The 25,345-nt window shown below is 36.8% G+C and overlaps 1 protein-coding gene and 1 non-coding gene across 65 annotated transcripts in view; both read left to right on the top strand.

The window, feature by feature from the left end:
• Positions 1–25,345, top strand: part of EIF4G3 (eukaryotic translation initiation factor 4 gamma 3) — a 370,606-nt gene that overhangs the window by 177,549 nt on the left and 167,712 nt on the right. For 27 of the 64 annotated variants that reach the window (XM_047433321.1, XM_047433366.1, XM_047433324.1 and 24 more), the window contains 2 exons: positions 18,122–18,301; positions 18,901–19,015. In XM_047433321.1, coding sequence (XP_047289277.1) covers positions 18,122–18,301; positions 18,901–19,015 — 295 coding nt within the window. Of the gene's footprint in view, positions 1–1,715; positions 1,749–16,940; positions 16,962–18,121; positions 18,302–18,900; positions 19,016–25,345 lie in introns of all 64 variants that reach the window. The other 37 variants (XM_011542370.3, XM_047433196.1, XM_047433261.1 and 34 more) reach the window with 4 other exon arrangements.
• On the top strand, positions 10,917–11,035 carry MIR1256 (microRNA 1256). Its single transcript, NR_031657.1, has one exon. It is a non-coding gene; the product is annotated as a microRNA 1256 (primary transcript).

Below are 25,345 nucleotides of genomic sequence, written 5' to 3'. Positions count from 1 at the left end.
GATGTTTTCTTCTCCTAATTGGAAAACTGAAAATACAAGACCTCAATTTCTTTGAAGAGAAAATTTTCTGCAAGAACTGTAACTGCCAGTTATCATCATTCTGAAAAACTATATTATATTGATTAGCCAAGTATGATGGCTGACCTAACATAACCCAAGCTTGTAGGTCATTAATGCACTTTTCATTACTTGAACAAAAGGTGACATTTTAGCTTCTGAGGTGAATTCTTGACAGAGCTGTTTTCAGCTGTCTCCTACATTGTGGCCATGTGTTCTACTGTAATTTGTTGAAATTTTAAAATGTGAACTAATGGTAGTTGGGGAAGTAATTCCAAATGTTTTGCAAATCACTATTGCACATAACTTAAATGCTGAGCATGAGAGATTGTTTCTTAATCTTCAATCTAATTCATCTGTAGTGTTAAGCTGACAGAAGGAAGTCTCTATAGAGGAAATAAGAGAGCCAAAGACATATATTTTTGCTCCTTAAATATATTAGATAAAAACCCTGTATATGGTTTACATTAAACACTGCTTTCTAAATATTTTCTTTTACTATTAAAGGGAGTGGTTAACATTACAATAGCTAACGTATTAGTATCCACAATATGGCTCTACATACCCCGGTTAATATTACAATAGTTAATGTATTAGTATCCAGAATATGGCTCTACATACCCCAATATTTTTGTCTGTTCCTTTCAGTTAAAATGTATTCAAACCCAAATTTGGCCTGGTGAATTGTTTGATCCTAGAGGTTTAGCAGTTAAAATTTGCATAGGTGAAAAAACTTTTTATTTTCTTCTGAGTTAGTAGAAGAGTTGGAATATATATTAGCCACTTTCAAGTACTCTATGATTTAGCTGAGGAATTACATTTCTTTGTGCTTTATTCTTAGGTAACAATAGGTACATATACACAGTGCTTTGCTGTTGTCTATAGTAATTAAGAGATTTGACTTATTTACTCTTTTTTCTTATCAAGCCTATAAGAATACCACTTGGATTAATCATGTTAGAGACTGATGTTCTTTACTAGCTGTTTGCCTTGACATGCCTTGTATTAAATTATATTAGTTAACCGCATTTAAACTTAAACTTGTGTGTGTGTGTGTGTGTGTGTGTGTGTGTGTGTGTAAAGTCATAAAAGATTTTTCTTTAACTCCAAGAAATTAAGATACTGAAACTTCCATTTCATGGATAAGATATCCCATTTAACTTAAGAAAATTTGCAGTTAATTGTGTTACGTTTTTTACTTCCTGCTGGACTTTATAATTATCTCCTGGCTAGGTCTTGTAATGTAAAAGCTTTCTCATTTCCTCCAGCTGTATCAGTTACATACAGCATACTTGATTTTCATGTTTGTCTTAATATAACCACTTAATTTTTCAAACTTGCTTTTGCCTTATTTTAGGGTTTTTTTTTTTTTTTAAATAATCCTATCAGAGAGTACCTTACATGCCTAACAGCATAGCCTGTTTCTCTCCCAGTTGATAAATGACAAACTATTCTGATAGTGCTGTTAACCTGTTGAATCTTAGTACCTGTCTGTCACTGTCCTGCAGCAAAGCTTTGACTGTTTTGTGTGTTGTTTTTTATTTCCCCACTGTGGGTTTTTTTTCTTTTGGCATATTGTGTGAAATTTTGGTTTTTGTTGTGGTGTTTCTGACTCTTTGTGCCTTTCCTTTTGTGTTTGTTTTCCCTCCTTTTCTCAGTTTGCAGCGGGGCCTCGACCTCCCCATCATCAGGTACTGTACCCTTGCCCCTTCACTATCACCCTTAACTAATAGATGGGGGCTTTAGTAGCTGCTGACTCTTAGAATGCTGCCATCCCATAGAACTACTCAAATTACTCATTTCAAGAGTAGCTTTTATCTGATATAATTCAGCTTTCTTTGTCCTTCATTAATCTCACTGCATTTTGTTATTAACAAATCCATTTGCCTCTGTTTATGGCACATTTAAAAAATGCTACAGTTTTTTTTTTCTTGCCAAGCATTGTTTTTAAATTTTACAATTTTGAAAAATTTAGATACTAAGTGTTTATAGATTTTGTGGATATTTGTAGTAAGTTAAATTTAACTGAATGAAGCAGGCAGCATTCTATGGGTTTTCTGTTAACATTCCGATATAACCTGTATTGATGTGTATAAAATAGCATTAGTATTTCTAAAACCACTTAAACTCAGTTACTAACTTAGATCTAGTAATAAATTGATTAAAAATCATGTACATCCATTTGCTGGATAGAATTATTTTTATTATTAGAACACATAGAAAATAGATATCTTAATTAATTTAAATAACTTTATCCTATTGGTTTTTTAAATGAAATAATTTTAATTTTTTAAATGAAATAATATTAATTCTATCCTATTGGTTTCATACTTCTATCCTATTGGAATCTATTTAGAGGTGGCAAGACAGAAGGACTTGCAGGGTTCTCCCTCCAACCCCCCAGTAGCTTTTTATGGGGTATTCTGAAACATTTTCTTCTGCTGAAAGAGCTTTGGTTTAGTCTGTTCATATTACAAGCTTTACTATGTAACCAGCTGGTTAGGCAAGTCTTTTTCTGCATCTTTGTTTCCTCATATGTAAAATGGAGATAAATAACCTCTGCCTTAGAAATAGTGTAAGCATCTGACACAAAACAAGCAGTCAGTAAGTGGTAACTGTCTTTAATATGATTGTTATGGAACAAAGTCTGGTTGGATAAAGTAAATGTTACCAGTATTTGCCTGTGTTATCATATTTACAATTCTTATTACTGAGTAAATGGATATTGTTTAGTTGAAGGCTTCCAGTGATTTAATACCTGACTCTGTTTTTCAAAATGTATTCCTTCCAATCTGGAGGATGTAAAGGCAAAGCAAATCTGAGTTATTAAAGGTACTTTGCAGGAGGATGGCTATATGGGGTGGATGGCTATTGTTTGGGTTTCATAGTGAAATAAAACCTCAGGGTATTTTTTTTAATTCAGAGATAATATTGTAAAGTATTAATACTTTAAGAGCTTGGACTTCGCCATCAGCTAGATCTAGGTTTGATTCTTCCATGTTAACCAAGTGTTCTTGGATAAATCATTTACTGCTCTCCACCTTAGTTTTCTCACCTGTAAAACGGAGACAGTAATACCATGTTGAAACTATTATGAAAAGTAAATTAGATAATGAAAATAAAATGATTAGCGGGGTGTTTGGCACATAGTAACTAGGACATAGAATTAGTATTACTACTACTAATAATAAAAATATTAGTTTCTTATGTAAAAGAGTGTTTATAATTGAAAATTTAGTCCAGTGCCATAGAAGCATGGCTTAAATTTTAATCCAGGGACAAGGCAAATACTCCTAAAAGAGAGAGACGTTGGGGATCTTTACTCAAGAAGCAGAGTGAAAAGAAACTATTTATTTGAGAAATAACTGCAAAGGAATTAGGGCAAAAACGTTTTCTGATCTCCTTTATGTAAGGCACCTGTTAATTTCTTTGTTCACATGCTTGTGTTTTTCAAACCTTGGTTTATTTTCATAAGTCATTTCAGATAAGCTAGCCTAAGGTAAACTGTTAGTAGAGGGAATTAACGTTACCATTGACCACAATTATTTTGGTGGATTTTATACACTGTAGATTGATGGAATGATGAGTGAATTTTGAAACAAAAACAGTATTGCTGAATAGGCCAGGTACGGTTGCTCAAACCTGTAATCCCAACACTTTGGGAGGCTGAGGTGGGTGGATCACTTGAGGTCACGAGTTCAAGACCAGCCTGGCCAACATGGTGAAATTCCGTCTCTACTAAAAATGCAAAAAGTAGCCGGGCGTGGTGGTGGGCACCTGTAATCCCAGTTACTTGGGAGGCTGAGGCAAGCGATCACTTGAACCCTGGAGGCAGAGTTTGCAGTGAGCCAAGATCACACCACTGCACTCCAGCCTGGGCGACAGAGCAAGACTCCCATCTCAAAACACAAAAACAAACAAAAAGAACCATGTTACTAAATAGCCTGGGCCTTTCTTATTAAGACTAGTAACTCTTTTAAAGACTGTTGATCAAAAAATTTAAGTTCTTAATGAAAATAGAAGAAACTTTAAGGTTATGTTTCTGCTACTTGGGTTCGATAATAGTGGTTCTAAAATTAGGATATTGTATTTAAGCATTTGTAGTGAGCTTTGGGAAATTCTGTTCTCTAAGAAAACTTTTATGAGCTTTAAAGTTATGTGGTACATTTTGTCTTTCTTTAATTCCAACAATCGGGGAAAATGTTCAGAAATCTCTGTGAGAAAAGGTTGATTTCAGCCCACATTTTCATGTGCAGTAGGACTCAGTAAAGTGTTAGCAGATTAGTCGTTTAACTGTATGATACTGCTCATGAATTTATGGCTAGTTTTGATTATTTTAAAAATAGAAGTATAAGCTGGATGCGGTGTTTGATGCCTGCAATCCCAGCAATTTGGGAGGCTGAGGCAGGTGGATCGCTTGAGCCCCAGAGTTAGAGATCAGCCTGAGCAACATGGCGAAACCTCATCTCTGCAAAATAAAAATAAAAATACAAAAATTAGTTGGGTGTGGTTGTGCATGCCTGTAGTCCCAGCTACTCTGGGAGGCTGAGGTAGGAGAATCACCTGAGCCCAGGTGGTCAAAGTTGCAGTGAGGTGTGATTGTGCCACTGTACTCAGCCTGGGTGAAAGAGTGAGACTTTATCTCAAAAAAAAAAAAAAAAAAGTATATATGTTTATTATATTTATTATTTATTTCTTACCAAGAAACATAATTATCATCTAACAATAGTTCTTGGAGGTAAGTTCCTAAGATACAGTATAAATTCAGAGCAATGATTTTTAATTCAGAAAATTCAGGTAGCTGGCACTTTTTTCTTTGTTATCCTTTTTTTCCTGAACACCAGTTAAATTCTTTTCATCATATCACAGAGAATTGAATAAGGATGTCTGTACCCTTGCCTCAGGCAGCAACAGTAATTACCTTGAATAGAGGAGAAGAAAGACATGGGGTTGGAGTGGCATAGCTGAGCAGGGCTAACTGAACCGGCATTATGTGTGGTATAGGATAAATTGTTAGAAAGAGTTTGCTATTTTGCATCCACAGGAGATGTGGGGTCAATTTGGTTTGTTTCACTATGGGATAGGTATTGGCATTTGGGTGGGATAACCAGTTATCAAAGCTGCCGTATATAATACAATTAATTTAGCATCGTTTGGGCTTTAAATGCCAGTAGAATTTCCCTAGTGACAATTAGAAAACAAAGCAAAACAAAAGAAAACCACCACTGTACATTTCCAAATACCCTCCATGGAAATGACAGCATTTCCCATTTGAGAATCGCTTACTGAATCTGTATTTCACAGTATCTTCTCTTCAGATCTAAAGTCAGGTAGCACCTAAACCCTGAAAGATTTACAGAGGAGTTGCTCATAATACAGAACAAGACATAGAGACTTGCATAATGAAATGAAAGCTGTTGGAGGAAACAAACATTGAGTGGTATACAGAGAATATACTTTTAAAGGGAAGACACTCATGTCCTGGGATATTTTGGGTTTTACATACTTAAGACTTAAAGTGGAATTGAAGGCAGAAATGGTTTTTTCATCGGTGGTAGTTTGCTTTGGCCAGTGAATAGATTTCTTTTTTGTCCTTTATTGCATTATTCATCAGTGGCTGCCTTTCTGATCACTTTACGTCCTTTCATGCTTTGATCTCAATTTATTTTTTGAAGGAATTTGTTGTTGGATGATGTTTTTAATGATTGTTGTTTCTAAAGTCCAATAGCAAATATAGTAACTTTTTGTTGATGCTTAGTAAAAATTGCAAAGTATGTTCTATAGCTGTTGCAAAGAAAAAATACAATTATTTAGGTAGGCTTTTTGGAATTAATTGCTTGTGAAAAGAAAACATCATCCAGTTTAGTAATCTTAGAACTTAAATATTTTTTCTGTGTAAGATGGAGTTACTTGAATTCAAGTAAACAAAAAATAACAAGATTTTAAATGGTAAACATTTTCTTTGTTCTTAATGGAATCAAGAAACTGCTTTGAGTGTATTCCTTGGAACTTCTTTTATTTAAAAGGTCTTTTAACTCTGTTTGGAGGGCTAGAGCTCTTTTTGAGTCCCCACAAATCAAGTGCGCCATGCTCCAGTTAGGATTATTTCAGCCACATCTTCTTCCTGATATTACTATTAGTTTTTGTCTTTTGTGGAGATTCTTCAGATTAATAAGGATGTGCTATTCTTTTGGCATTTTATAACCTGAAGAGCTTTTAGAATTACAGTTTTCTTCAAAGATAAAACAAGAAATACTAAGTCATTTTATATGCAAAACACTCTTGGCTTTAGAAATATGTCAACTATTTTTGCACTGATGCTTGAAAATCCCAAGGTAATTAGAAACTGAAAGAACAGAAAGTACACTCAGAATTATAGCAAGCCACTTGGTATAATTTGGATTCTGGCCTGTGTTGTTTATTTTGTGTATTTGGTCATTAAAATCTGTGTAGTTCTGGTTTAAAGTTACTTATGTTCCTGTCCTTATTTTACTTTGGGGTTTCACAATAGAGATCAAGTGTTGGTTATATACTATGACTAAGTAGTCTTTTCATTATGAGAAAGACCAGGGAAATAGTATTTTAAAGTGTTCATAGGACAAAACACTGTGCAGTTTTTTGATATATGATTTTGGTTCACATACTTTTCACAAATGCTGAAAAATATGCTGTATTCAAAGCAGTGGGATTTAGTGTAAACAAATAATGAGCTTCATAAAACCAGCGTACACTATCAGCAGGAGGAGGAGGAGGAGGAGTATGTGCCATAAAGAAATGTCTTACTTGGTGGCAAGCGTTGAAATTGTGCATGTTTTCCTCTTGTGGTTTGGTTCTTTTTGTGAAAAAGAAACTTTTGAAAAGAACTGCTGATTTATGTAGATTTCTTTTTCATTATGATCCCTAAAGGTTTCTTTACTGAAAGTTTGTGATGTTATATATTCCTAGTTGAGATATATTTGTGTTACTATAGGCAATTTATTAGATTTGGAAAGTAAAATAAATGGGCCAGACCTGGCACAACAGAGTTAAATGGATATGAATAGCAAGCCATCTCAAGCATCTATACGACCTTATGACATCTTAAATTATGATCTTATGAACTTTTTGTTTTTTGGAGCTTGGTACAAGTGAGTGATGGGTGGTTTTATCTGGTATCTCATTCACAAGGAGTTGTATAGTAGCAGCATAAATAATGAAGAAAATATATGTTGGGAGTCAGTAAAACTGGGATTCAATTTCAGCTTCACTACAAATTATCTTTGGGCCTCAAGTTTCTGATCTTCAAAATGGGTAAAATATGCTAATAAATGATATAATACTGAGATGTTTTAATAACTGCATATATTTCCTATGGGTGTGGTGAGGATAAAGTACCTGCCTATCACAGTGTCTGAAATGAAATAAGTCCTTGGTAGGTGTCAGTTTCCTTTAGCAGTGAGACTACCTGCCTTTCCCCTTTTCCCAAGCTATTTTTTAGCATGAGTGAAGTATTTTATAAGGATGCTCATTTCCAAGACTCTCCCTTATGATCTGACAGAACACCTCCTGTTCCTGACATAAACCTCTAGGGTAGCACTGTGTAATAGAATTTCTGTGATGATGAAAATGTTCTGTACTTGTGCTTTTCACTGCTGTAGCTCTACTAGCTATATACATGGCTATAGAGCACTTTAAATGTGGCTAATGCAGCTAAAGAACTGAATTTTTTCTTTTTTTTTTTTTATGAGACAGAGTCTCACTCTGTCACCTAGGCTGGAGTGCAGTGGCACGATCTCAGCTCTCTGCAACCTCCTCCTCCCAGGTTCAAGTGATTTTTGTGCCTCCGCCTCCTGAGTAGCTGGAACTACAGGTGTGAGCTACCACACCCTACTAACTTTTGTATTTTTTGTAGAGTCAGGATTTTGCCATGTTGGTCAGGCCAGTCTTGAGCTCCTGAGCTTAAGCGATCCGCCCATCTTAGCCTCCCAAAGTGCTGGGTTTAAAGGCGTGAGCCACTGTGCTTGACCCGGAACTGAATTTTTAGTACAAGTAGTTAAGTATGGCTTGTGGCTCCTGTATTGAACAACTCAGCTCTAGGGCTTCCATATCCCGATTCTTAGTGAAACCTAAATTATATAATATTGACCACATGCCGGGAAATATAGAAAAAATTTAGAATGGAATAATCTCCATTATAAATTACCATGGATTAACAGATTATCAAATTGACACCTGAGTGATGTCCCATTATGTGGACTCTTTAAAGCTTGTCCCTTTCTAACTTGCCAGCAAATCATAGCACTGTTCTTCAAGAGTACTTCAGACTTTTAAAAGATATTCACCAAGGAAATTTCTAATTGCAGATGTTAGTTTTTCATCTTCTAGTAGGCTGACCTATATACTGAAGCATATTTTGTATTGCTTTGCAAGTTAATAAATATAGGCATGCCTCGGAGATATTGCAGACTTGGTTTCAGACCACGACAATCAAGCAAATAACTGCAATAAAGCAAGTCGTGAATTTTTTGGTTTCCCAGTGTATATATGTTATGTTTCCACTGTGCTGTAGTCTACTAACTGAACAGTAGAATTATGTGTAAGAAAATGATGTACATATAGTAATTAAATACTTTCTCTTTTTTTTGAGATGGAGTCTTGCTCTGTCGCCCAGGCTGGAGTACAGTGGCGCGATCTCAGCTCACCGCAGCCTCTGCCTCCCGGGTTCAAGCAATTCTGCCTCAGCCTCCCGAGTAGCTGAGATTACAGGCATGTGCCACTACACTGGCTAATTTTTGTATTTCTGGTAGAGACGGGGTTTCACCATGTTGGCCAGGCTGGTCTTGAACTCCTGACCTCGTGATCCGCCCACCTCAGCCTCCTAAAGTGCTGGGATTACAGGTGTGTGCCACCGCACCCGGCTGGTAATTAAATACTTTCTGGCTAAAAAATGCTAATGATTTTCTCAGTCTTCAGTGAGTTGTAATCTTTTTGCTGGTGAAGTGTCTTCAATGTAGATGGGTGCTGACTGATCAGGGTAGTGGTTGCTGAGGATTGAGATGGCTGTGGCAATTTCTTGAAATAAGACAAAGTTTGTCACATTGATGGACTCTTCTTTTTTTTAATTTATTTGTTTGTTTTTGAGATGGAGTCTTGCTCTGTCACCCATGCTGGAGTGGAGTGGCATAATCTCTGCTCACTGCAATCTCCACCTCCTGGGTTCAGTTCTCCTGCATCAGCCTCCTGAGTTGCGGGGACTTTAGGCACATGCCACCACATCTGGCTAATTTTTTGTATTTTTAGTACAGCTGAGGTTTCACCATATTGGCCAGAGTGGTCTTAAACTCCTGACCTCAGGTGATCCGCCCGTTTCGGCCTCCCAAAGTGCTGGGATTACAGGCGTGAGCTACTGCACCCGGCCAGTGGACTCTTTATTTCATGAAAGATTTCTCTGCAGCATGTGATGCTGTTTAACAGCATTTTACGCAAAGTAGAACTTTCTTTTATCATTGGAGTCAATCTCAAACTCTGCTGCTGCTTTATCAACTAGGTTTATGTAATATTCTAAATCTTTTGTTGTCCTTTCAACAATGTTCACAGCTCCTTACCGGGAGTAGATTCCATCTCAGGAAATCACTTTTTTTTTGCTCCTCCATATGAAGCCAGTCCTCATTTGTTCAGGTTTTATCATGAGATTCTCATGATAAAGTCAGTCACATCTTCAGGCTCTACTTTTTTTTTTTTTTTTTTTTTTTTTTGAGTTGGAGTTTTGCTCTTGTTATCCAGGCTGCAGTGCAGTGGCATGATCTCGGCTCACTGCAACCTCCACCTCCCAGGTTCAAGTGATTCTCCTGGCTCACCCTCCCGAGTAGCTGGGATTACAGGCATCTCCCACCATGCGCAGCTAATTTTTTGTATTTTTAGTAGAGATAGGGTTTCACCATGTTGGGCAGGCTGGTCTCGAACTCGGGACCTCAGGTGATCCACCCGCCTCCACTTCCCGAAGTGTTGGGATTACAAGCGTGAGCCACTGTGCCCGGCCCAGGCACTACTTCTAATTCTAGTTCTTTTGCCATTTCCACCGTATCAGCACTTACTCCTTCCATTGAAGTCTTGAATCCCTCATAGTAATCCATGAGTATTGGAATCAGCTTCTTCCAAATGCTTGTGAATGTTGATATTTTGGCCTTCTCCCATGAATCACAAATCTCTCCTCTCCTCTCCTCTCCTCTCCCCTCCCCTCCCCTCCCCTCCCCTCCTCTCCTCTCCTCTCTTTTTGGGGGAATAGGGTCTCACGATGTTACCTGGGCTAGCCTCAAACTCCTGGGCTAGAACAATTCTGCAACCTCAGCCTCCTAAGTAGCTGGGACTCCAGTCGTACACCACTGCACCCAGGAATATTCTTAATGGCATCAGCAATGGTGAATCCTTTCCAGGAAGTTTTTTATGTAGTTTGCCCAGAACCATCAGAGAAATCAGTATGTGTGGCAGCTGTAGCCTTACAAAATATACTTCTTAAATAATAAGGCTTGAAAATCAAAACTACTCCTTGATCCATAGGCTGCAGAGTGGATGTTGTGTTAGCAGGCATGAAAGCAACATTAATCTCTGTATACATCTCCCTCAGAGCTCTTGGGTGACTAGGTGTTTTCCCAGTAAGCAGTAATATTTTGAAAGGAATCTAAGCTCTCTACAATGGCCTTAAAATAGCCAGCAAACCATGCTGCAAACAGATGTGCTATCATTCTGGCTTTGTTATTTTATTTATAGGGCATAGTCTGAGTAGATTTAGCATAATTCTTAAGGGCCCTAGGATTTTCCAGATAGTAAATAAGTATTGGCTTCAAATTAAAGTCACCAGCTACATTAGCCCCTAACAGTAGAGTCAGCCTGTTGAAGCTTTGAAGCTTTGATGCCAGGCATTGACTTCTCACTAGCTGTGAAAGTCCTAGCTAAAGAGAAGTCAATGCATGACATCTTGTTTCAATAGATGGCTGTTTCATCTACACTGAAAATCATGTGTTTAGTGTAGGCACTTTTATCAGTTTTCTTGGCTGGATCTTCTGGATAACTTGAAGCAGTTTCTCCATAAGTACTTGCTGCTTCACCTTGCACTTTCATGTTATGGAGACAGCTGCTTTCACTAAACCTCATGAGCTAAACTTTGCTAGCTTCAACTTTTCTTCTGTAGCTTTCTTACCTCTCAGCCTTCACAGAATTGAAATGAGAGTTAGGACTTTGCTTTGGATTACATTTTGGCTTAAGGGAATGTTGTGGCTGGTTTGATCTTCTATCCAAACTGCTCTTTCTCCATATCAGCAATAAGGCTGTTTTGCTTTATCATTTGTGTGTTCACTGGAGTAGCACTTTAAATTTCCTCCAAGAACTTATTCTTTGCATTTACAACTTGGCTTTTGAAGTAGCTTTCAGCCTATCTCAGCTTTTAACATGCCTTCCTCACTAAGTTTAGTCATTTATAGTTTTTATTTAAAGTGAGAGATGTGACACAAGACCATATAGAGGCCACTGTTCAGTTATTAATTTCCATATAATGGCCTAACTTCAATATTATTGTGTCTGCTGAATAGGAAGGTCTAAGGAGAGGAGAAAAATGGGAGAGGCGGGGGGACAACAGACAGTAGGTGGAGCAGTTAGAACACACAACTTTCTTAAGTTTGCTGTCTTCTATGGGTGCAGTTCATGGCGCTCCCAGTTACAATGATAACATAAAAGGTCAGTGATCACACATCACCATAACAGATATAATAATAATGAAAAAATTGAAATATTGGGAGAATTACCAAAATGTGACAAACACGAAATGAGCACATGCTGTTGGAAAAATGGTGCTGATAGACTTTCTCAACACAAGGATTTCACAAACTTTCAATTTGTAAAGAATGCAATATCTATAATGCACAATAAAGCAAAGCAGAATAAAATGAGCTATGCTTGTACTCAGAGCTTTTCCCCACATGGGAATATCTAATGTGATTAAATAGGATTTTTCTAGTTGCTGAAAATGAAAAGATGTTTTTCAGAGAATTTCTGTTATATAATTTGTTAGAGGTGTTTTTGTCTTTTCATGCTTTTACTGAGCAAAGTCATGAAAAACGATATTTCATAATTGCCAGCACGTTCAAACACCATTTGTTAGACGTTTTTGATGAGGAAGCTTTGGGTAATGATATGAATTATTGCATCTTTAGAAGGATTTTTCGAGAGGAAACATTTTTTATTCTGGCTTCTAGAGTGTTTCTGGGAAAGTAAGCAATTATAAGTATGCTAAGTTCAGCCTCTGTTTTAAAAGTATCCTATCTTGTTGGATCTGCCCAAAATACTGCCTCAAATGAGAGTTTTCACCTTCCTCTGCCATCCTTCTGGTGTATTAATAATAAATCCTTGAAAGATGAAAGAAGTAAAACAGATTGAAATGAAGTTTAGGAGGTGAATTTTATGTTGTACATGGCTCTCTTTTCTGTGCCTAGCTCTTTGCAGCATTTTTATCAGTTACTTGGATAAGTGACATTTATGTCAAGTTTTCTTTTTTTTTTTTTTTTTTTTTTTTTTTGGAGACAGAGCTCTGTCGCCCAGGCTGGAGTGCAGTGGCATGATCTTGGCTCACTGCAAGCTCTGCCTCCCGGGTTCACGCCATTCTCCTGCTTCAGCCTCCCAAGTAGCTGGGACTACAGGCGCATGCCACCACGCCCAGCTAATTTTTTTTGTATTTTTTTAGTGGAGACGGGGTTTCACCTTGTTAGCCAGGATGGGTCAGGTTTTCTAATGATCCTGTAGTTTGACACTGTCATGCAGTCGGTACAATCTGAAATGATGGCTTGTTTAGCCAGATAAATTTTCATAGTTACAAACTACAAAATCCTCTATATGAGCTTCAAAACACAATTGTAAGAGTACACACTGAAGTGAAGAACACAGCTTATTTAGCCAGGTTATGTATAAAGAGGATTTAAATGCTTTAAATGAGTGTCAGTACCAATCAGTAGTAAAATATCAAAACTGCTCCTGTGATTCTTGGTTTCATTAATGGAATTGGAGCTGGCAGGAATAAGAGAGGTATATTGCCTTTTCACTCAGCAACAAATATTTTTTTAGTGAGTGCCAGGTACATTCTGGGCAGACCCCACCTCGATACCTTTGTGTTGGAACAAGATTGAAAGAAAAGATCAAGCTCATTTGGGAATTAAAAATCTTGGTTGGAGGGACAGGATGCTAGGGAGAGGGTTATGATTGACTTGAAACAAAAAATAGTGGTGTGAAAATTGGCAGTAATGGCAGCGTTCACATAACTTAGTGGTCTGTTGCTGATGGAGAAGGATTTGACATCTGTGTGGTTTTAGGGATGGACACGAGACAAGTGGATAGGTGATATAGGGAGAAAAATTGGGGGCCAGTAGAAGGAAGAGTTTTACAGTATTAGAACTCCATTTAATTATGAAAAGAATTTGTATCTTAAGTTGCTGAAGTTTCTTATCCCTAGTGGTATATTATAAAAGATATTCAGACTTTAGGTGGATGGTGAGACTAAATGGCTCCTTCCATTCAGGAGAGTTTGACTCTTAATGATTGTTCATCACTCAGTTGAGAAGAAAAGAAATTTGAAGGATTGCAAGCAGTTTGGGAAATCCCATTTATATATTCCTTTTAATAACCTATGGATTACTGCTATGCTTGCCCAACTGAGAATCTGAATTTCTTGCATTACTATTAAATCTAATTATGCATTTGTAATTGAATGGTTTGGAAGGAGTACAAAAAGGATATATATTTTTTTTTTTTTTTGCATTTCTAGTCATTACGGCTTTTCTAGAATCTCTTCTGGTGCACGTGTGTGTGTGTAAGTGATCCTGTACTTTTAAGTGGAAAACACAAGCTCCAGATAGACTATTGTTGTAAAAAGTATTAATGCAGTGAAGTTGAGCAAAAGTAAGTCTGTAAAATGGTATGCCAAGGATACGCTTTTAGCATATGAACAAGTTTCAGTCACTTTTTGGGAGATAGAGAATTGGAGTTGTGTAGGTAGAAGAAATTTGTTTTCGTGAGTAAGCATGTGTTTTGTGAAGTAACTTGATGGAAAATTTTTCTTACCAGGAATCAGTCATGATTGAGGGACATGCCACCCGTTAGTATAGTTGGATAAAGATCCTGCTACATCCTTTCAGTGTTTGTAAAGAAAAGATTTCTGCTGGTTTATGTGAAAATATGGGGGTATTCCATTTCATGAGAGGTAATATGTGTAACAGTTAAAAGTACATGCCTATAATCTGACTGTGTTTTAGTTACAGATGGGGGAGGCTTCCAGCAAGTTATTTAATCTCCCTGTTCCTCAGTTTTTACATATATCTTATGACCTGTTAATAATAGTACTTGCCTTCAAGGTCATTTATGAGCATGAGTTAACATATATGTTGACTGGGCACGGTGGCTCACGCCTGTAATCCCAGCACTTTGGGAGGCCGAGGCGGGCGGATCACGAGGTCAGGAGATTGAGACCATCTTGGCTAACACGGTGAAACCCTGTCTGTACTAAAAATACAAAAATTAGCTGGGCGTGGTGGCATGTGGCTGTAGTCCCAGCTACTCAGGAGGCTGAGGCAGGAGAATCACTTGAACCTGGGAGGTGGAGGTTGCAGTGAGCCAAGATCACGCCACTGCACTCCAGCCTGGGAGACAGAGCAAGACTCCGTCTCAAAAAAAAAAAAAAGTGTATATATGTGTGTGTGTGTGTGTGTGTGTGTATATATATATATATAATGCTTAGGTTGGTGCTTTACAAATACATTTCTCTTTAGCTTCAAAGCTGAATTCTTAGTGTATAAAAATTAGTATATTGGCCAAGCGCAGTGGCTCATGTTTGTAATCCCAGCACTTTGGGGGAGGCCAAGGTGGGCGGATCCCAAGGTCAGGTATTCGAGACCAGCCTGGCCAATATGGTGAAACCCCGTCTCTACTAAAAATACAAAAATTATCCAGGTGTGGTGGTGGGCACCCATAGTCCCAGCTAGTCAGGAGGCTGAGGCAGGAGAATCGCTTGAACCCAGGAAGTGGAGGTTGCAGTGAGCCAAGATCAGCCACTGCACTCCAGCCTGGGCGACAGAGCAAGACTCCATCTCCCCCCGACAAAAGAAAAAAAAATTAGTATATCAATATAACTACATATTTAGTGGCTTTTTTTGGTTCAGCTATATGTTAATATTAGGAATATCATTAGAAACACTGTTTTTACTTCAAAGTTACTGAGGAAATTAGTTTCATACTGTTCAGAAACCTCATTGAATAAGATGTAACCTCAGTTATTCTGGACAGGCTGGTTAAAAGTTTTATCAGAACAGCTGGAAAATAGTGGTAAGAAAATATTTCACATACAGACTGTTAAAATTTTTGGAAAACATTGCCCGTATCTATTTTTCTTACTCTGCATAAGTTAATGGATTCATTTTCTTTCTCCTCTCCTTACCACCCCGTAACACCCTATTTCTTCAGGCAACATAGGAGTATTTTGACATTATTTGATGATAGTGTTACCATAATAGATGATCACCTGTGTTCATTTGATACGCCCTTTATCTTGGCTGGGCTGCCCTCTACAGTTGATTTCAAAGGATCTTTCAGTATTAAGATTTTTATCCTCTGCCTGTGTTATTTAGCAATGCCCAGTAAGTTGAACAGATAATGACTCTTCTCTACTTGAGGCTTGTATCATTCTTGTGGCTCCTGATATTAACTACATTATAAAAATACTTAAGTTTGTTCCTGAAGTGTTGTTTACAGATCACATGCATTGATGCATGATAGATTCTGTTTGCTTTGTAATTACGAGAAATGCAGTCCAGTAATGGGAGGTTTACTGCTTTATTGTTCCTTTTAGCAGCCAACAAAAAAATGTTGTCACCAAAACTGTGTCAGTGGAGATAACTAGAAGATGGTTCCTGTAGTTGTATTGCATCCCAGGTTCCTATGTTACCAACTTTGCCTCCTGTGCTTTCTTTTCATCTCCATCACCTACTCTCTGTGGCCTGCCCCTTTGGTTTCCCCCATTTATTCCGTTCTCCTGCTATACCTTTCTGGCTGTTGTTTTTCTGTGACTTAATTTCTTTAGGGCTATCTTTGCCATGGGGTAGGAAGGCTGAATGGGGATGAGCCTTGGACACTAGATCCCAGTTCTTCCTTTTGAGCACAAGATCAAGTTACTTATACCATCTGTGGGTGGTTTGATGCCTAAGAGTAGGACAAAATAAGACCAGAGTGGGCCCAAAGGTCGAAGCTTGGCTTTATTTGGACTGATAGCAACGAATATTTTGCTGCTTTATTTATTTTGGTGCAAGACCACATTTTAAGATTGTTATTATAGTTCTCCATTTTAGAGCTATAAGTGCCCTCTTATATACCTGATTAGTTAAAAAGAGCAAGCAAGTCTCTGTCATTAAGAGTCTGATATATATTGAAAAGTTTATTTCTTAGGACTTTTACAAAAATAACAAATGACACAGATGGCAAGTAGATCACAGAGATGCTAGACAATGCCAGATCATGAAATGGGTGATCATGAGATCCAAGAGTAAGAACCAGTAGTCACAACTGTACTTGTGCCACCAAGCAGACATTTCCTTGCACACTACTATAACTTGTGGCTATTAATAATCATAGAGGATTTTTGCCACTGGATTTCAGTTAAATGTAACTTGATTCTTTGATTCTATGTGTGGTTAAATTCTCAAGTGAAGAACTGTCATTCTGATTTTCTAGTCTTCTTTCTTCTCCTATTATTACTAAATAGAAAGATATTTTTGTTGAGCTGCATGCTATTTCCTGTCCCTTCCAACTGATCTGTAAGCTTTTCCATTGGCTTTCTTTCTGTTTCCTGCTGCTTTCTTGCTTCATATTTGAAGGGAGGATTCAGACCTATCCAGGTAACAAACTACTGGTTCTGCATGGCCTCTTTATAACTCAGTCTGCTTATTATTACATTGAGATTGATTGCTAATGAATGGATACATTCACATTGGAAATTTACTATTGGTATATTGTTTCAAGGCTTTTAATCTTGCAGTGAAAATTATAACTACAGGTACTGGTTGCCATTTTGAGAAATTTGAACTCTGCTGATTCCAGACCATTCTTAGGCCTGTCTAGATTGTCCACTTTTATTGCAAACTATTCTAGAAGGCTCAGTTTAGTATGGGATTGTGCCACCTTTTGGAGAGGAAAAAAACTGCTTAGTTCAGCATGTGACAACCCTACAGATGGTTTAATTTAGCTTGACCCTGATGGACTGGGTAAATATTTTATGATCAAAGAGATTCCTTGTTCTTCTAAGTATTTTATAAATTACTTGAACAGCAGTCTTTTAGGAGGCTACTTTTAATTTTTAATGATTTGATAATGAACCACTTACTCTTTATCAGAGTCAGTTCTTTTATATAATAGAGAAATATCAATATTAGCTACCCCTTTTGTTATACTTTATTATACATATATGTATGTATATATACAGTATGTGTGTATACATATATGTATGTATATATACAGTATGTGTGTATACATATATGTATGTGTATATACAGTATGTGCGTATACATGTATGTATACATACAGTATGTGCGTATACATGTATGTATACATACAGTATGTGCGTATACATGTATGTATACATACAGTATGTGCGTATACATGTATGTATACATACAGTATGTGCGTATACATGTATGTATACATACAGTATGTGCGTATACATGTATGTATGTATACATACAGTATGTGCGTATACATGTATGTATGTATATATACAGTATGTGCGTATACATGTATGTATGCATATATACATACGTATATATACAGTCGGGTCGAAACCACCCTACTGTTTTCAAATATGTGATGATACTGATAAGAGCTTGCCCTAGTGTGGTATATTTTTGGGAACCCAGCAATAGGTAATTTATTCTTTTTATGCATATTGTATTTGTAATTCAAGTTGACCAGATTTTTATTAGTGAAGAAAAGGAGACAGTAAAATTTATATATTCCCCTGTGTTAAAAAAAAAAAAAAATTTTTTTTTTCTCCCCTTCCCAGTTTTTCCAGAGGCCTCAAATACAGCCTCCTAGAGCTACCATCCCGAACAGCAGTCCTTCCATTCGTCCTGGTGCACAGACACCCACTGCAGTGTACCAGGCTAATCAGCACATCATGATGGTTAACCATCTGCCCATGCCGTACCCAGTGCCCCAGGGGCCTCAGTACTGTATACCACAGGTAAAGTATCTTTGAGGCCTAGGTGGTCCAGCAATAGAGTGGAAATTAACCCGGATTCACATCAGAGGGAGCTGGGTGGATGAATTGTGGTATTAGTTTTCGGTGACGTGTGAACTGTTTTGTTGGTTACAAATCTAGCCCTTTTGTGATTTTTCATTATGCTGTGTGAAGATATTTCTACATCTGTTTACTTAAAATTTTTTAAAATGATAAATTGTTTTTATCTACTTGCTTTCTCCCATCCCTTTGCCACAACCAACTGCTCTAAAATGGACTCAGTGATTATGCTGTTCCTGAAATCCTTTAATGTCATTGAAAAGCTACTAGCCTGAGATTATTTTACAGTGAGCTGATGTCTGCCTGTGCACTGATATGTTGTATGGCTTTACTAAGCTGCACCTTTCTCTTCATTCTCATTGTATCTTGATGGCAAGCAAGCATTTTTAATGTGTTTGACCCAATCGCTTTACCTCATTTAAATGATTCTCTTACACAGAGAACTTTACTTTCTGTAGTAAGCTACTTTCTTATTATTTTATTATGTTTTTCGCCCCCAGATACCATATTATTTATAAATATTCATACTTTCTCTTTTCTAGTACCGTCATAGTGGCCCTCCTTATGTTGGGCCCCCCCAACAATATCCAGTTCAACCACCGGGGCCAGGTCCTTTTTATCCTGGACCAGGACCTGGGGACTTCCCCAATGCTTATGGTAAGTAGGAAAAGTCAAGACATTTCTGCTAGTTTTTTGTGTTTATTTAATTTTGTTGCTTGGTGGGTTGGTTTATACAATGAGGTTTAGTGGTAAGAAGGATTTTTAAATAACATGCTGCTAACAGTTCTTTCTTGAAAGCTACTTTTTTTTTTTTCTTCCAGAAATGGGAGTCTCATTATGTTAGTCAGGCTGGTCTTAAACTCCTGGGCTCAAGTGATCATCCTGCCTTAGCTTCCCAAGTAGCTGGACCTACTGGCACATGCCACTCTGCCCAGCTTTAAAAGTAATTTTTTGGCTGGGCGCGGTGGCTCACGCCTGTAATCCCAGCACTTTAGGAGGCCGAGGCGGGCGAGGAGATTGAGACCATCCAGGCTAACATGGTGAAACCCCGTCTCTACTAAAAATACAAAAAATTAGCCGGGCATGGTGGCGGGTGCCTGTAGTCCCAGATATTCGGGAGGCTGAGGCAGGAGAATGGCTTGAACCCGGGAGGCAGAGCTTGCAGTGAGCCGAGATCACGCCACTGCACTCAGCCTGGGTGACAGAGCGAGACTCCATCTCAAAAAAAAAAAAAGACAGAAAAGTTACTTTTTAGAGAGTGGCTTACAAGAGGAGTATTATAGAAATATATTTAGTTAATGACATCTTCTTTACAAGCTGATAATTCTACTGGAAAGAATCATGTTTCAGAGTTCTGACATCTTCCACCAGTTCACTGTTACCTAGATTTTTACTGGATTTTTGCCAGTGGCATGAATATACCTTATCCTCCTTTCACAATCTCTTTTTCTCCAAACATTTCCTACCACCTTACACCTTAAAGATTTTGTTAATGTCTTTCTTAGTAGAATGCAATTTCCATGAAAGTAGAGATTTTTGTTTTGTTCACTGCTATATCCCCAGCCCCTAGAACAGTGACTGGCAGGCACTTGGAGAATATACATGCCATAACTAAATATAACTCAGTGAACCTGTGATTCTCCGCAAAATTGTGATAAGATCTATGGCATGGGGGAGGTTTTGGGTATTAGTTCCAATGAAAATGCCTTGAAAAATTAAAAGTGTTTTTAATTTAGAGAGAGCTGGGTTGCCAAGATTATTGGCATATGCGCCAATGCTGAACTAAAAATGATAAAAATTACTTACTTCATTCAACAAATTTTTACTTCATATTACATTTCTCTTATTCCATGGAAGGTGAATAATAAGGGATAAAATTAGTAGATACTAGAAAAATTAAGTTTTGAGATTCAGTAAGCATTGATCTGTTATATAACCAACAAAGCAAAAACTTATTAAATAATCTTAATATAACAGGATAACTTATCCATTAACCAGTTTCCTAAAATTGGGATTGTCTCAGTTAAGATTACAGCAGAATTGATTTGATTCAAGTAGCCCAAGAAGGTTTTTTTTTTTCAGTTTTGAGGTGAAGTAGGCAAAGCAACCAAATGTTACGTGGCTTTACTTCTTTTAGAGAAGGGAAAAGTTTTCTGTTACCTTGGTTGATATTGTCTTGGGAAACTGCTATTTCAAAGTGATACGCAATACCCTTCACTTATCCTCAGGGAATACATTCCAAGACCCCCAGTGGGCATCTGAAACCTCACATAGTACCCTATACATACCATGGGTTTTTTTTTTTTTTTTTTTGATCTGATAAAAGGGCTACTAAGTGACTAATTGGCATGTAGCGTGTACAGCATGGATACACTGGATAAAGGGATGATTCACATCCCTGGTGACATGAAGCAGGACAGTGCAAGATTTTATCATGCTATTCAGAATGGCTTGCAATTTAAATCTTATGAATTGTTAATTTCTGGAATCTTTTGTTTAGTATTTTCAGACTGGTTGACTGCAGGTAACTGAAATTGCAGAAAAGGGATTAATACTACATTTTATATAACCTCACTAAATGTCTCAAATATGTTTATTTAACTCAGCTTTATTAAGTTGTATCATTACTATGAAATTTGATATTTTCAGAACAATAATGTGTTACATATATGTGAGTTTAAAAGTTACACAATATATATATATATCACCCAATTTTTGACAGCATATTGCAAGTGCTGTTGAAGTATTCCTTGTGTAATCCTTGGACTTACCTTTGTCACCATTTTTATGTAATTCTAGTGCCTTTATTCTAGGTCCTTATTCTGAAAACTTAAATCCAAGTAATTATTTTTGAGAGTAACAATGGTTGTTACTATCTAGAATTTTTTAAATAGAAAACAATGGGATTATTAATCAGCATGAACATGCTGAAATAGACAGTGTCTCCCGTTAATTTCTGTGTTGCAAAGGGAATACAATTAGTCTTCTAATTTACAACATCATTTTTAAAGATGTCTTACTGAATTGTAATCTGCTTTTTTACTTAGTGATTATGCCAATCACTTTACTCAGAAAATGTCATCATTAAATTTCCTGCTGTAAGTCTGTGCCAGCCCTCTTTATTGCTTTTAATACTATTGTACAATATGTATAGAAACAGTAATGATGAATTTACTAGTAGAGACATAATGTGCAGATTTGAATGTACAATATTATAACATTTTGGCTTTATTTCTATTAGATATATACCATTTTTATTCATTTTTATGAAAAAGCAGTATGTTGAGGTATAATTGTATCTCAGATATTATTGATGTCTGTTCCCTTTCATAGATATGCTTTCTTCCCCAGTAAATTCTCATGCAGATCCAGTAGACATCAAGTGGGCAGTTAATCATCTAGATTAAAATATTGTTTCTCTAGTTTTCTTAATATTAGAAAAACAATCTTAAAATAATTTATTTCATTATGAAAGTAACTAAATTAATGATAAAAATTTAAAAAGGCCGGGTGTGGTGGCTCATGCCTGTAATCCCAGCACTTTGGGAGACCAAGGTGGGTGGATCACCCGAGGTCAGGAGTTCTAAACCAGCCTGGCCAACATGATGAAACCCCATCTCTACTTAAAATACAAAAATTAGCAGGGTGTGGTGGCGGGCGCCTGTAATCCCAGCTACTCGGGAGGCTGAGGCAGAAGAATTGCTTGAACCCAGGAGGCGGAGGTTGCAGTGGGCAGAGATCATGCCCCTGCACTCCAACCTGGGTGACAGAGCGAGACTCCATCTAAAAAAAAAAAAAATTTCAATAATATAGAGTGCATAAAGTTGAAATAGCCAGTTTCTCTCCCTTCCCATCCTTTAAAGCAATAACATTTAACAGTTTGATACGTATTTTTTTTTTCATTTATATTTAACAAGTTTTTTTAACTTAAATTAACATGGAATATTTATAGTAGTGTAAATAATAAAACTTCCTGGTTATTGTTTTCCTTTCATACTATATTCATGGGCATCTTTCTATTTCATTATCTATAGAACTTCTCTCATTTCTTTTAAAATATACATAATCTATTTTTGGAATGAATCACAATTTATGATACCTAATTTTTAGTACTTTAGTAGAGATGGTGTTTCACCGTGTACCAAGGCTGGTCTTGAACTCCTGAGCTCAGGCATTCTGCCTGCCTTGGCCTTCCAAAGTGCTAGGATTACAGGCATGAGCCACTGCGCCTGGCCATGTTTATTATTGTTTCTATGGAAAATTCAAGGTTTTGAATTTTTTTTAGAAGACAGGCAGTGTGCTAGTTATTTTGTGGAATACAGGTGTTAAGATACTCTTCCTGCCATTCAGTTTCTTATAGTAAGTCTGTTAGATATTGTGCTGAGGTTTAAACAGTGAGAAGAAATCTAAATATTGACTGCACCATTGGTTTCACATTATAGACAAGTAAAATGAATAAAAAGTAGAGTAAAATAAAGTAGAAAACATACATGACTATTAAATTTATAATTTGGCCAAGAAGACCTTTAAAGAAAACTGCCGTTTACTGCCAGTATCATTTCATGTTTTAACAACAAAAATCATCAAATAGGAGCAGTCCTTTATACAAATTTTAAGTTGTTAAACCTCTGTGTGACACTGGGGCCTGTTGTGGGGTGGGGGGAAGGGGGAGGGATAGCATTAGGAGATATACCTAATGTTAAATGACGAGTTGATGGGTGCAGCACACTAACATGGCACATGTATACATATGTAACTAACCTGCACGTTGTGCACATGTACCCTAAAACTTAAAGTATAATAAAAATAAATAAATAAATAAAATAAAAATACAAACCAAGGTTCACATAAAAAAAAAAACCTCTGTGTGTGTGTTTGTATTTCATGATTGTTATTGTATTCATTTTGCAATACATCATTGACACTTTTTATATAGACTGAGGTTTGGGAACCACTGATTTAGAACTGGGATCAGTAAACTTTTTTTTTCAGTAAAGGGCTAGATAGTAAATATCTCAGGTTTTGCAGGCTGTATGGTCTCTGTTGCAGCTGTTCAGCTGTGCCACTGTGATGTAAAATCAGCCATAGACAGTTGATAAACTACTGTACGTGGGTGTCTTCCAATAAAACTTTATTTAAAAAAATAAATAGTGGTGGACTAGATTTGGCTCTTAGACTGTAGTTGACAGATCTTTGATCTATACAAATGTACTTCATTCCATGCATAAGAAATTTGAGGTCCAGAGACATTAATTAACTTAACTAATTAATAAATGGTATGTAAAAATTACTCATTTCTAGTGGAATAAAAATGTTTTTAAATGTTTCTGACTAGCTTATTATAAATATTATATATTTATAATAATATACTATTATATTAGTAGTATAGGCAGTAGTATATTAGTAGTAGTAGGGCAGATTTTCTACTCTGCTAGAGCTCACAGTTAAGAAGACTTAATGTTTTGCTAATTGCATTTAATCCCACTATATTGAGATTATCTTGTTCTGTCACATTTATTGGATTAATGTGATATACCAGGCTCTTCCCCAATCATGTAGGCTCAAAAATGTTTCATGAGAAGAATCCAGGTTTTTTTTTTTTTTGTTTTTTGTTTTTTTTAAGAGATCACCTTTTGGATCTTATTTCACTTACCTCAAAAAATATGGTGAAGTGAGCAGATTGTGTTGCTTGCCTGGCAGCATTTGAAACCAATTTTGGGGATTTGTTTTCTGAGTTAATTTCTGAGCCAGTGACATAATAAAGTAGCACATAATTGCTAATTTGAGTTCTGCTTTGAGAATAGTTTACTCATTGTTAGAGGATGACTGAGATTTTTTTTTTGGTCTTTTTACATTGAACTTACTGAAATCATAGTCATGCCCTCTGCTTAGATCTTTTCCAAATCTGATTCAGCAAACCTGATTGATACCTACAGAATTCTGGTACTGCAAATCATGGTGCTTCCAACAACTTTACACTTGAAAAGTGTTATGGTGGTAGTGGGGATGTTGATGGTGATAATGAAAGTGGGCCAGCCTTATTTGACTGTTTGCTTAGTACCAAGGATTTTACCTGTGTGAACTACCCTCGTACATATTTTTTTCCTTCTTGTTACGGTGAATCAATTATCCATGTTCTATGGAAAGCCAATCTTTTATGTGTGTACTGGATCCCATCCTGTACCCATTTAAGGCTATTACTCTAGCAATTCTTTCTTTCCCACATTGACAATTTTCCCCCCTTCCTCTGCTGGATTAGTGTCATCTGTATATAGGAATAGGCACACTGTTTCATTGACATATTAAGGAAAGTTTTTCTGATTCCATATTTTTGTCCAGCTATAGCTCAATTTTTCTGCTTTTCTTTTACGGCAAAATTTTTAAGGAAAATATTTGTACTCATGGTTTTCATTTTCCGTCTTCTCTTTCACTATTGAACCCACTCAAATCAGGCTTCACACTCTTCACCTCTCTGCCCAAACAACTTTTGTCAAGGTCACTGGTGATTTGTACTTTGAAAAATCTTATTTGACCTCTTCAGCACCATTTGATGTGGTTAAGCACAGCCCTCATTCTTGAATAATTTTCTTGATTTCAACCACTGCCTTGGTTTTCATCTCTTTGGCTGGAGTTTTCCCAATTTCTGTGACCTCTAATAGACATGGAATGCCCCAAGATTTAACCACTGGGCTTCTTTTCTATCTGTATTCATTTCCTGAGTTATCTAGTCTTGTTTAAATGTTGTTTATATTCTGTGAATTCCAGAATGGATAACTGTAACTCATACCTATCCTCTGACTCCAGATTTGTGTCACTTTCTAACTACTTGATCTGTATTTGAAGATCTGGTAAGCACCCGAAACTTGACCTGTCTAAAACTGAACTCTTGATTTTTCTGCCCCAAACTCTATTCCTTCAGCATTCCTCATCTTAGCAAGTAGTACCTCTGTTCTTTCACTTGCTCAGGCATAAAACTGAAAGAGTTTT

The sequence above is a fragment of the Homo sapiens genome, chromosome 1, assembly GCF_000001405.40.
Source record: "Homo sapiens chromosome 1, GRCh38.p14 Primary Assembly".
NCBI lineage: Eukaryota > Metazoa > Chordata > Mammalia > Primates > Hominidae > Homo > Homo sapiens.
This window is presented reverse-complemented; position numbering and strand designations above follow the sequence as displayed.